At 44.0% G+C, this 13,153-nt stretch overlaps 1 protein-coding gene across 4 annotated transcripts in view, besides 4 other annotated features; it reads right to left on the bottom strand.

The window, feature by feature from the left end:
- Positions 1 to 532: 532 nt before the first annotated feature.
- Positions 533 to 13,153, bottom strand: part of VASH2 (vasohibin 2) — a 41,045-nt gene continuing 28,424 nt past the window's right edge. For all 4 annotated transcript variants that reach the window (NM_001301056.2, NM_024749.5, NM_001136474.3 and 1 more), the window contains one exon: positions 533 to 3,606. In NM_001301056.2, coding sequence (NP_001287985.1) covers positions 3,534 to 3,606 — 73 coding nt within the window. In that variant the 3' untranslated portion in view covers positions 533 to 3,533. The remainder of the gene's footprint in view (positions 3,607 to 13,153) is intronic.
- Positions 10,127 to 10,276: an enhancer, noted in NCBI's record as "active region_2526". NCBI's record gives its function as "activates an Ori minimal core promoter by ATAC-STARR-seq in GM12878 lymphoblastoid cells {active_cell/tissue: GM12878}" and the evidence as "EXISTENCE:reporter gene assay evidence [ECO:0000049][PMID:35858748]".
- Positions 10,387 to 10,606: an enhancer, noted in NCBI's record as "active region_2525". NCBI's record gives its function as "activates an Ori minimal core promoter by ATAC-STARR-seq in GM12878 lymphoblastoid cells {active_cell/tissue: GM12878}" and the evidence as "EXISTENCE:reporter gene assay evidence [ECO:0000049][PMID:35858748]".
- Positions 11,857 to 12,151: a silencer, noted in NCBI's record as "tiled region #1741; K562 Repressive non-DNase unmatched - State 12:CtcfO". NCBI's record gives its function as "represses a minimal TATA promoter and a strong SV40 promoter by Sharpr-MPRA in K562 cells {active_cell/tissue: K562}" and the evidence as "EXISTENCE:reporter gene assay evidence [ECO:0000049][PMID:27701403]".
- Positions 12,439 to 12,488: an enhancer, noted in NCBI's record as "active region_2524". NCBI's record gives its function as "activates an Ori minimal core promoter by ATAC-STARR-seq in GM12878 lymphoblastoid cells {active_cell/tissue: GM12878}" and the evidence as "EXISTENCE:reporter gene assay evidence [ECO:0000049][PMID:35858748]".

Below are 13,153 nucleotides of genomic sequence, written 5' to 3'. Positions count from 1 at the left end.
TAAACTATTTCATTGCCCTTTGCAGCCATTTTTACTTAGGGGTGATGCTAAAAGATGAGTGAATTGAGATATGTCAAAATAGAGTGATAGAGTGTTTTTAATATAGAGTCTGCAGATTGTGAAAGAAGGGTGAAAGAACGATAAATAGGTTCAGTAGAATAAATATATAATAAGAGGACCAAAAAAAAAAATCACACCATCTTACTTTTTTTTTTTTTGAGACTGAGTCTTGCACTGTTGCCCAGGCTGGAGTACATTGGCGGGATCTCAGCTCACTGCAACCTCCGCCTCCCAAGTTCAAGCGATTCTTCTGCTTCAGCCTCCCAAATACCTGGGATTACAGGCGCCCGCCACCATGCCCGGCTAATTTTTTGTATTTTTAGTAGAGACAGGGTTTCACCATGTTGGTCAGGCTGGTCTCGAACTCCTGACCTCAGGTGATCCACCCGCCTTGGCCTCCCATAGTGCCGGGATTACAGGCTTGAGCCACTGAGCCCGGCCACATCTTACATATTTAGAAGAAAAACAATCCTTAAGTTTCCAGGATGGTTTTATTAAAGTCCCATGCTGTGTTAGAAACATACAAGTGATGAGAAAAACATTAACTTGAAACATGCACTTACTGGCATTCTCTAAAATACCATTATACAAGTTTTCATTTAATTAGAAAAATACCCACTAAAACAATCACAGTTCTTCTTAAAGATTTAAAAAAAATGTATTGGCCAGAACAAAGTCCAAGAGAATAAACAAAGTTCTGAATTGTATGTCAAAAAAACTGTACAAGGTTGTACATAAAACTATAGCTTACAAAAGACTCAGGTATAGTAAGAATTCTGAATTAAGATTTCCAAAGTTCTATTTACCAATATCTATTAATAAAATCCTTATGAAATAATTGACTTAGAAAAAGTGAAATGCTCATGATTTCAGAGTGTATAGAAAATACTAAATATCTCCGAAATAAAGTGTACTCAAAACAGCACAACATACAGTCTAAAATCAAGATTTCTGTCATTCATTTAAACTTTGCATATATTGCCATGATGGCTTAAACATAAAATTTCTCTTGCACTAACAACTTTTTAAAACCGATTTCAAATCACTTCATAGTTTTATTTTTTATATTTTGAATTCTAGCCAGTCTTAAAATCAGCTTTGGGAGGGGGGTGCATATAACATGTTTTTTGTTTTGTTTTGTTTTTTGTTTTTTAAATTATTGCACTAGAATTTAGGGGTTTGGTGCCTCTCCCGTATTTTTTTTAGAAATTAGCATATTCCATAGGCAATAAAAGTAGGATGACAACTAAGAACATTTTAAATGTACTTTCAAGTTTGTGTGACTAAACCTTGCTTTGGGAAAATTAGTCTAAAAATCAAGGAGCGGGTGTGGGAGAAATTAGCTTACTAATTGAACCATCAAGCCAGTTGGCAGTTCTAAGGCTTCTTTATCAGCATATTACAGAGTTTGTATTCCTGTTCTTTTCCTCCTTGTTGTGGGAAACAAGCTATGCAACCATTTGACATTCTGTATTTTAGATGTAACAGTACTTAATACTTGGCAAAAATAAATTCCAACTCTTAGAATGGTTGCAGTGTTATAAGAGGTCTACTTATTAGATGTAAGCAAGTTTCAGATTGACAAACAGAAGGTATATGGCTAAGTCAGTATTGTTTTAGAATGAAAATGAAATGATTCACTATTTCAAACATCTGAATACATGTGGCCAAGAGGCTGCGAATGGGTTTGCTGTGTGTAGATAAACAGAGCTAACTCATTTTAAACTCTGATAATACTGTTCTTAAAGAGATTAAACTGATAATTTTTAACCCTGTGCTACATTTTAATCTAATGGAGATGTATACTTGGTCTTGTTCATCTAAAGGACATTCGACTTCTTTAAGAAAACAGTACTTTTCATTAATAATACTGATTTTCAGGGTGAAGTAAGCTCTTGTGCACCCTTTTGCTTTGAAGTCCTTTTGCTTTCCCTGTCACCCCCAGAAATCTTGTAAAGAATTGGTAAAGAATCTCAATGAGCTTTTTTTTTTTTTAACTTCCTTCCTATAAACACCTTCAGTCAAAGAAAGCCAGAGGAGATGCACTGAGACTGAAATAACATCTGTTGACTACCAGACTTCACTGAAATCGGCCGTCTGCTCTCCTGAGTTGGCATTGTTGCTAAGATAAAGCAAATGAAATTGAAGCTGTACTCTTGATATTTACACCATACAAGACTAGGCTGTTAGGGTTGTCCTGTGTGGTCTGCAGCCAGAGGTTACACTGTAACTACCATATGCAGGCCAGACATTCATTCTGTGCTTAGGGACTGAATTACACTATAAGGTGTAACACTGGACCGAAGACTTTTCCATTAAAAAAAAAGTGCTGCTTTTCTAATTCTTTATATTTTCCAATACTCATTCCTAAAATGTCATGAAATGGTACCTAAAAGCAAAGTACTGGAAGATAATCACATCATGTCACATTTGGTCTTAATATAAGACATCAGAACACATCTTTAACAGTGAGTCCTCCCTTAGTTTGATTCTTGGCATCCTTCAGAAGAATCAAAGCCTGCCTCAGTTTAAAAATCAGATGAAATGTGAACAGAAAGGTTTTTTGGTTCTGAAGACCTGCTGATCACTCCTGGTCTCTGCCTGAGTGTGTTAATGTCAGAGGTAAATCCAGTACCGCTAAATTTGTATAATAGTACGTGACCTCTTGTGCTTTTTGTTAGAGTCTGCAAAGTTTAAATGTTAGTGACAGAACATAGACTAGCTTCTCAATGTGATATTTTTGTTTCATTTTGAAAAAACAAAAACATCAGTGAATGCTTTAAGAAAGATTAAGAAGGAAGTAACTCCAAGATCCTGAAAATGGTTCTTGTATTGCCAGAAGAATTTCAGTGCTTTTTAGTAAAACACTTGCATATAGTACCTTAAATCTCCTCACGTGTGTGCACCAGGAAAAAACTCCAAACTTGTGGAGATCCCCATGGGAAATACTGGGGAAAGAATACAAATAGAATATAAAAAAACAAAACGCCATTAAGTTTGCATATCTGATGTCAAAATGCTGAGGTAATAACTGCTTAAAAAAAACCCACCCATTTTTGCTTTCTGTTATTGCTGAAAAAGACAGTAATACTGTTAGAGTTACCTTACTATACCAAAAGTTCAAGAGATTATTTCATGAACATTTACTATTGGTGAGGCATAATGTTCAAAGCAAGTAAAAGAAAGTAGGTAAATGGAAAAATATAAAACTTCAGTTACGGTTATCCTTAAGATCTTGAGTGAGGGACATAGTCCAACCCCAGTGGGGCTTATTACTTCAGCCTTTTCATGGTGCCTTTTAGTGAATTTTTTAAAGCTAATGGTTACCACCCACTCAGATTCTATTTCCAGGTGAATCCTTAAAAATAAAATTCACAAGTTCTTAATAAATAGTTGCAGTTCCTCCTGAAGATGCTGGGTAAAGTGCAGAGAGAAGCACCACAGAAACCCTCTTGCTGGCCGGTATGGCTTGGCTAAATTCGGATTTGATAGCCCACTTCATTCAGAGTGCTCAGATCAGCCACCTTCTTTTCAGGCAGTGCAGGCCTAAGGGTAAAAGACAGAAATATGGTGGAGGAGAGGGGATGGGGCAAAGAAAGACAACAGCATTTTCAAGGTCCTCTACTCGGTTTTCCTAATCCTTCTGATATTTGTCTCATCCTCCCATTCCCCCACCCTGCCAGCCTTAGCTCACAACTCTACTTCTTGTTCTTAAGTCCACCTTTAAAGGTTTTAAGGAACATTTTAACAGACTTTCAATGTAGAGTTCAGAAAAGTTTTCAGGGTGTGGAATGAGCTTCTGCAGCTTTAAGCCTGACTTTGGTCACATTATAGCTTTTGAAACCCAGTACTCTTGAACCTTGCAAGGGTCTAAAAGTCACATACACTACAGTAGAGCCAAGAATCTGAGTCAAATTCTCCTTGAAACATTGGCTTCCTAGTGTTCGTGTCCTGGAGGAAGCCCAGGAATCAAAGGTGACTCACGTTCCCAGGGAGCGGTTAATGTTCAGGCTTGAATGTATAAAATCAAGGTGAATCTTAGGATTCATCTGAAAAAGCATGTCAGTGTGGAAAATCACTCAGTGGCAAAACATCTCTTCCCTAGAAACGTGCTAAAGTCACTTCCAACATAAAACTACAACTAAGCAATTATGCAAAGTCATGTGAGAAAGTACTTCAAGCTGGGAAATACAACATTCACATCAATAGCACATCATCTGTCTTCATTAAAGATGCGTCCTAAATGACTTCCAATATACGATTATGCCTAAACAATCTCACAATGTATCTTACAACTTTTCCATTTCTTAATGAGCCTCTTCTCACCTTGGATAAGAGAGAACTGAGATCATGAATCAAGTTTAGGATATTCAGTATGGCTAGTGAGTTCTAATTCAAAAGTTTCACATCCATTTTTGCAAGAAAAAGACATGTTTAGGTTACACATAAACCTTGTTTTTGTTTTGTTTTTGTTTTTGTTTTTGAGACGGAGTTTCGCCCTTGTTGCCCAGGCTAGAGTGCCGTGGCACAATCTTGGCTCACTGCAACCTCTGCCTCCCCAGTTCAAGTGATTCTCCTGCCTCACCCTCCTGAGTAGCTGGGATTACAGGCATGTGCCACCACACCTGGCCAATTTTGTATTTTTGTAGACATGGGGTTTCACCATGTTGGTCAGGCTGGTCTCGAACTCCTGACCTCAGGTGATCTGCCTGCCTCGGTCTCCCAAAGTGCTGGGATTACAGGTGTGAGCCACCGCACCCAGCCGAACCTTGTTCTTAAGTATTAAAAAAAAAAAAAAAGACCAAAAAGAAAATATAATTGTTAGAAGGTTTCTTATTTTATGCCCTTGAAAGATTTCCTAACAGCTAATGGTTTTTCCCTGGCATAAAAGTGGTCCAACTAATTCAATGTTGATAGAACTAGAAATCAACAGCTAGCTTCTAGCTAAAGCACAGCTCAGTGAATGGCATTAATCTCTGCCAGCAATTCCACTACCCCTTTTCTCTCTCTCTCTCTCTCTCTCTCTGAAATGGGAAGGAATAGTCATCAACAGTCTGATCATTCCCTTTGAAACCTGACTGCTCAAGGTGGTCAAGAAACTATCCCTGACTAGGCCCTACTCAAATAACTTGTAACCTTACTTATCTGTTGCATGGGCCTTATTTCTTAGCTTGACCATGTGCCCTCCTTTATCGGTCAGGAATTATGCCTCTTATTTCTTTGTGTCTCTCCCCATAGCGACTGGGTCATACACATGATGCTAATTAACACAGCTGACTGCCAGTAGAAATCCCTACACTTCAGTGTGTAGACTCTGCTCATTGTATCAGAGCTCAAGGCTTCCATCCTTCAGGGGATGGTGTCCTCCAGCCTCTGCATGCCCTGGAGATTAGCTATTCCCTTAAACAAAGCCACTGCTACAGGCCTGGAGGAGTGGCCCCCAGATGACACTATGAGGACCATTCTTGGATTGACAGGAAAAGGAACACATGTTTGCTTGGGGATTCAAATTTATATTCCTACCCTAGCCCTCAGCCCACTAATGTGGACAGAACTAGGGTTCTTACACACAAGTCAGGTTTAAAGAGTCCACATGCATCTGGTTCTCTCATAAAGCCTGAAGTGAGCCTCCATTTTGTCTCCTTGCCTGAGGTGGTGTCATCTTTACAAATAGCTAATTTGAGACTTTCTCAAGTAGACTCCCCATACATTAGCATCAGCCTGATGCAAATGTGGTTAGAAAAGTAAATCACTGCTCCACAGTGTGCCCCACTTGTAGAAAATTCAGCAATCAAAAATTCAATTTGCCTGCAGGATAAGGCAAAAGGATAAACCTGCAGTACCTATGCATTCCTTGCTTTAGAAAAAGATTAAATGCAGGTCATTTCCTAGAGCTAGTAAAATATTATTTCCATACTACCTTTCCTGGTTTTGTAATTAGGTAAGCATATATTTTTTATCCAAATATAAACTACATTTGTATTAGATTTTCATAACTGATTTATCTAACGATCTGTGTGCAGCAGCGTCTATTAGTTGCCCCTCAACATCCATTCTTCCCTTCTTTAGTATAAAACACCCGTCTCCCATCCCTGATTTTTAGTTAGGTACATAGCTGCCTTGAATACAAAGTACATCTTCCAGCCTCCCTGTACCCACGCATGGCCTCAGACTAAGTTGTAGCCAGTGAGATTTACATGGAAGTGTGGTGTGGCAGTTAGTAGGACACGTCTTCAAAAGACAACTGGTATGTGCCCTTCATCTTTTTCTTTCCTTTGTTCTTCCTGCTGATGGGAACATGGAAGCGACGGCTGGAGTGGGGACCTCAAGATGGTCTCTAGGGCTGGGCACAGTGGCTTAGGCCTGTAATCCAAGCACTTTGGGAGGCTGAGGTGGGTGGATCATTTGAGATCAGGAGTTTGAGACCAGCCTGACCAACATGGTGAAACCCTGTCTCTACTAAAAACACAAAAAACAGCCGGGTATGATGGCGCATTCCTGTAGTCCCAGCTACTTGGGAGGCTGAGGCAGAATCACTGGAACCTGGGAAGCGGAGGTTGCAGTGAGCCAAGATCGTGCCACTGCACTCCAGCCTGGGCAACAGAGTGAGATTCTGTCTCAGAAAAAAAAAAAAAAAAGATGGTCTCTAAAGATGGCAGCGCAGCAGGAAGCCCATTTCCACCTCTGTTGAGCTGCTTTTACATAAAAGTGAATCATGGCTGGGTGCGCTGGGTCATGCTTATAGTCCCAGCACTTTGGGAGGCTGAGAAGAGAGGATCACTTGAACCCAGGAGTTTCAGACCAGCCTGGGCACCACGGTGAAACCCCATCTCTACAAAAAAAAAAAAAAAAAAAAAAAGCAAAAAAAATTAGCCAGACATGGTGACATGCGCCTGTAGTCCCAGCTACTTGGAAGGCTGAGATGGGAGGATCGCTTGAACCTAGGAGGTGGAGGTTGCGGTGAGCTGAGATTGCACAACTGCATTCCAGCCTGGGCAACAAAGCAAGACCCTATCTCAAAAAAGAAAAAAAAAGTGAATTATGTTTAAGCTACAGCTTACACCTAACCTTAGCCAAACCTGATCCACTAACAGTGGGTGCTAAGTCAACCTGAGGAAGGTTACTGTGTGGAGTATGGAGAACATGCTCCTAGCAAGTTCTAACTCGGGAGGAATGGCCATAGTCCAAATGAAGTCAGGAGTCATACTCACTTCTAGGAGTCAGTCTTCTTCCCTGTAACCCTGCAAACTATGTAGGACCTAAGCCATGGTAGCTCTTTAGATCTCCTGTTGTCTCTGAAAATTAAGCAGTGCATGTGCTTAACAAGAGACTGTCTTGTTCCATGGTCCTTGTAGGACCTACCAGTTAGCTCATCCGAGTTTCTGAAGCTTTCTTACATATGTTGCCTTCCTGGCCTGGCATCTTCCTCAACACCAAGTCACACCTCTCCTCCTTCTGAAACTCTAAATATGCTGCCCTTCATATAAGAAAATAAGACACTAGCTTCACAGTATTTTCAAGTTGTTGGACTAGATCTGCACTGACCTGTTATCTCTCCCTCAGTCCTGTGCCCGACAGTCTCTCCTAGAAAGTCAGTGGCCAGAACAGCCTACAGGGTAGGCTCAGGGAGAAAACAAAGCCCACCCGCTCATCCCTGTCATGGAGGCTCACTGGGATCACTGCAGCTAACTAGCCACAGGCCTGCCACCTCCTCGAGAAGCCACTTTTTGGCCACTCACCTTAATTCCTCACTTTGGAGCCCCTCAGCCCATAAATTTTTTGTAGTTTGTGTGTTTCTTAAACTTCACTCTTTACCATTACCTGTGTTCTGCTATTGGCACATTTGAAAATAGATGAAATTTAATTTGGGAACCTTTGAACTCCTTTTCTTAGTCTTTTCCCTCGCACTTGCACCAGTTTTCCCATGCCTTCCAGGTACCAGGAAATCACCATTATAAATAGCTTTTATTTATTAGACACTTAACGATGTGCCAGGCATCATTCTAAGAGGTTTCCGTGGATTAATTAATCCTCACCATAACCCACGGGGTTGATACTGGTACTGTCCATTTTATAGAGGAGATAATGGAGGTACTGAAAGGTAGGGAATTTGCTCAAAGCAAAGTCATGCAGTTAGCAAGTGTTGGAGCCAGAGTTGGTCCCCAGAATCTAGAGCCCACACCCTGAACCACAATGCAAACTTCACCCTTCCTCTGCCACCTCAAAGCATCTTTCCAAGCATCTGAGAAGGACACCATGGCCACTCCTGCCTCTGCACCTTGGCTTATGCTGTCTCCTGTCTAGAATGCTCTCCCCAACATCTCCACATCCTTAGAAGGCAATCCCAAATGTCACTAACCTCAGGAAGTATTTTCTGACTCCCTACCATCACAATCCACTACTTGCTCTGTATGCTCTGGCATTTTCTTTGGTACATTTGCTATGGCTTAAATGTGTCCCCAAAAGTTCATGGGTTTGGAAACTCGATCCTCGGTGCAGTGGGGTTGGGAGGCAGGGCTTAGTGGGAGGTGTGTGGATCCGGGGGCATCACCCTCATGAATAGATTAGTATTTTCTCAAAAGTGGGTTCTTATAAAAGGATGACTTTGGCCCCTTTGCACACTTGTGCTTGCTCTCTTTCTTTCCTCTCTCCCTCTCTTTGCCCTCTGTCATGGGACAGTGCAACAAGAAGGCTCTCACCAGATGTCAGCCACTTGATCTTGGGTTTCTCAGCATCCAGAACCATGGGCCAATACATTTCCTGTTCATTATAAAGGACTCAGTCTCAGGTATTCTGTTACAGCGACACAAAATGGACTAAGACAACATCTGTTCCAGAATCCTGCCAATTCATAATCATTACACCTGCCTCAGAGACTGTGAACAATTTGAAAGGAGGGACCAGGGAAATTCATCTATGAATCCCACTGTGGAATACGTACTTATCAATCAAATTCTCACTAACATGTAAATGGATGATAGTGAATCATCTGTTACCTTTATCATGGGATATTTTATTTTAGAGACAAAGTCCTAAGCCAGGAATTCAAGTTACCATGACAACATTTTCAGAATTAACAAGCAGGAAGAACATTTATTTTCCGTATTGGAGTGGGTTTGCTTTACCCCTGAAAGCCATGTGGGGAACCTGCCTACTCATTAAGCTGAATGCATCAACAGCTTGAGTGCTTCCAAAGGAAAGGGACTAGGTCATCTTCTTCTTCTGTATCCCCACCCCTGCCACCTTCCACTAAGTACCCAGAACCCAGGAGAAGAAAAGGGCTAATACTGACAGAAAATGAGCTAAACTGAGATTCCTGGTGAACTGCCCAGAAGATGAAATCCTTTTCTTTTACAGCAACCGTGGCTGCAATCTCCTTGGCTGGCATAGGGCAGAAGTAGGTTATCACAGCATGCCACCTGCCTGTGGGGCCCAGCCAGAAATGTCATTCAGTCCTTGCCAGCTCATCTCAGGGCCAGAGCTGGGTGAGCTATTGTGTATAGAGAGGACTCTTCCAAGTGCTCCCCCAGCTCTAATTAGAATATTGCAAGGGGGTTTATTTTTAAGAAACACGAGCACTAGGATGATGATTCAGCCGGGTCTGCACTTGCCCAGAACCTCTCATCGGATCCAGGGTTATTATTTTAGACTAATATATTTCTCCAACCCCACCTCCCTGCCATCCTCCTCCAAACAAGGCAAAGAAATGAAAGAATTTTCTTTTTTCAAGGTTCTCCGGCAACATTTTGTTTTAGGGGAAAAAGAGTAGAAAACTTTACTTTGACTCACTTTGCAGGAGAAAGGATATCCACATGCACAGACAGTCCCAGCCTCACCTGTTGTGACGTAAATGGACTCAGAGTGAACTAGGGTGAAAGCTTGATGGCCTGGCCCCAAGGCTACACTTAACCCCAATGACAGGTCTGCATTCCCGGAGCCAGCTGGACGGAGGGTGCTCAAAGCAGGAGGTAGGCTAGGGAGAACAGGGTGGTGGTTCCACAGAGAAGTTATTCTGTCAAAAATCCTACTACTCTCTGCCACTGCTATCTCAACTTTGACAGCTGCACACCAAGTCCTTCACACTCTGAGGCAGCCTCAGTGCAGAGGAGGAGCTCGGCCTGACCAGATGGTGCCATCTGTGCAGCCACAAGAAGCCTCAGAACCAGAAAGTGATGGAGTGGAGACATGACCACATCCCAAGGCTGAACATGCATAGGGGTGTATCTGGGAGAGATGAGGTTTAAGAAAAGAAACAGGACGAGGAGAGGAAGTTCACAGGGTTCCCTCAACCACCCAGTCTCTCTTCCGCACCTCTGACTGAGGGCCATGTCTGGGTACGTGTGCCGGCAGGTGCTCACCCTCACACAGAAACACAAAGGCCAGACTGGCGGTACAGCCTGCAGGCTCGGGAGTCCAGGAAGGGAAGTGTGGGAAAAGTGCCACTGTAAACGTTAGACTCTTAATCCCGGATGTTAAGAATGTGGAAGAGATTAAACCAGGGGTGCTCTTGGCCCAGCATTTACAAGTTTAAGCAAAGACCCCAGGGCCACCCTTCTTGTGGAGTCTGGCCAGAATCAGGTCAGACCAGGCCCCGATTTAGGATTCACGGCCGGTCTGGGTAGGCCGCAGAGGCAGAGCATGGCCTCAGCTGGACGGACACAGGGAAAGGGAAGCTTCATTCACACCTGTCACCTTCATTCCAGGCCAGTCCGCTCCTCCCTCACATTCCTTGCTTCCCCTGATGGAAAGCACCGGTGCTGGCAGCTGCCAGGGCAGACAGCTGATGTTGCTATGTAAACAGAGGCCTCAGCCAAGACGGATTCGGCCCAGAAGAGATTTTTCAGCCGGTGCCCATCCCTTTGAGCCCTCCCCAGGCAGGAGACTCTGGCCATAGGCCAACTGTTGGAGATTCCAGGGCACAGTTTCCAGGCTCTGATGTCACTTCTCCTTTCCGGGACAAGAACCCCTCAGCTCTAGGAAACCTCACCCTGTCTGCCCCTGTCTGACCCTATGTGACCCTGGGGAGCTCACAGAGGCTCCTGGCTCACTCTGCCTGAGGTGGTCTTTTCTGATGAGGCCCATCATTCCATCTTGGTTTCTCCAAGCATCCCTGGAGACTCTGGGCCATATGAATTTCCCTGGGGGAACTGACCAGGCAGTCACTGGAGTAGAAACTGCCCCTTCACCATCTTGGCGGTTTAGCTTTTCCCTTCGTAGCCTTCCTAGTGTTCTTTTTTGTTTGTTTGCTTCCCTCTACTTTCCACCCTAAGGAAATCTCCTTTTCTCACTGGGGATATTTCTCATTTGGGATCTAAGGAGAATTACTTCTTGGGCACCAGTCAATGTGATTAGACCATGGAATCAAATTTATTTTCAATGACTTCATTAAACAACTTCTGCCCTTACTCAACCAGATGTCTGGACATACGTAATCCTTCCTGACAGAATGCAGCAGGAATTCCATTGTCCAGCTCAAGGCCCTGCAGTGAAAGGAGATGGGCTTTCAGGGCTTACTAACCTCTGGGACCCCCAGGGTGTCCAGCAGGGCAGACAGAGCCCGCTGGAGCCATGAACTGCCACAGAGATCAGTGATGAAGAAGGGAAATCAAAGAGGAAGAAAAGGGGAGGCAAAGAAAGGTGACCAGCAAAGAAAACAGGAGGAGAGACAGCAGGAAAAAAGCAGCCACACAGGGGAGAGAAGATGAAGAGGTTCTCATGGGTCCTCAGGAACACTGGCCTCCATTGAGAAGAATGTTTCACGTGGTCACTCTGGCTGCAAAACCAGAAAATCACTATCTGCTCACTCCAATTCACCCAGGGCCAGCTCATAGGCAGCAAGCCAAGAGTCATGAACTGTCAGAAATGGAAAGGACCTCGGAGAGCGCTGAAGCTTCCCAGTGAGGGCGCTGTTGGCATTTGAGGTGGAACGGTTCTTTATTGGGCAGGGTGGTCCTGGGCTTTGCGGGGCATTTACCATCTCAGGCCCCCGGCCCTAGCAAGGAGCCTCCTCACTTACCAAGATGTGAGAAGCAAACGCTTCCACCTCCCACCACACTTCTAACCCTCCTCTCCCAGAGCTGACCCAGTTGAGAACCCCTGGGAACACCCCTTAGTGAAGAGCTGCAAGGGTTCTGAGGCCCGGGGCTGGGAAGGAGTTGGTTTAAGTTCACAGATGGCCTTTGAAACATGAATCTCAACCTCCCTCTCCCTTTCTCTTTACGAACCACAGGAAAAAACTTGACAATTCAGTGTAGTAGGTGCTTTACACACTCCCAGAGGAGCAGTGTGAGAAAGGACCCGTGGGTGGAAGGGTGGGGGAGTCCTGGTTTCCCTCTTGAAACTTGGTCTCAGCGGATGCTACGCAGTCATCTTCACCTGCCCTCCCCCTCGGCTGATTCTTGTCAACCCAGTGACACTGATCCTCCTCTCGAAAGGGATTATTTAGACAAGTGCAAAAATGGAGAGGAATTCAAGGCTGGAAGTCGCTCCAGCTGGAGGGAGGAGGTGGATGGGGATATAATGCCACTAAAATTATCCATGGCAGACAGGGACTGGGACCCCACAGCTGATGGGCCTCTCGCCTGTTATGGTAATTTTCCACCCTTTGGGCCCCTCCCAAGCTTCCTCATGACACCCAACACATTTAGAAATGACGCGATGGCCTTATGTAATGCTGACAGAATAGCACAGGGACAGAGTCACCAAACCCTAGTCCTGGCCATCTTACAGTAAGATTCCCGGAGTTTGTGGAGTGATTGGGTCAAGACCATATTTGTCACTTTCTCATTTCCTCGCCAAAAGCAAGATTACCTAGAGAAAAGGCTGCTTGGCGAAGGCCATGGGTGGAAGCTGAGAAGCTGCTTCTCTCCAAACATACCTCCAGGAACACAGCTGTCCTGAGTTCTAGTGTGGCAGAATGGCGGGAGCTGGAATCTAGAGAGGGAAGCTGGGGCTTGGCGCTCCAGTGCTTGTGGCCTCTCACAGCTCTTCTTCTTATTCTCATGTCCTGCACCTCTCTTCCCTCTCCTCCTACACAGTAGACCCTGCAATCTCTTCCCCAGCCCTGCAACTCAGAAGTCAAGGTTTCGGAGGA

Source organism: Homo sapiens, chromosome 1 (assembly GCF_000001405.40).
Source record: "Homo sapiens chromosome 1, GRCh38.p14 Primary Assembly".
Lineage (NCBI taxonomy): Eukaryota > Metazoa > Chordata > Mammalia > Primates > Hominidae > Homo > Homo sapiens.
Note: the sequence above shows the minus strand (reverse complement) of the source record. Positions and strands in the feature narration are given on the sequence as shown.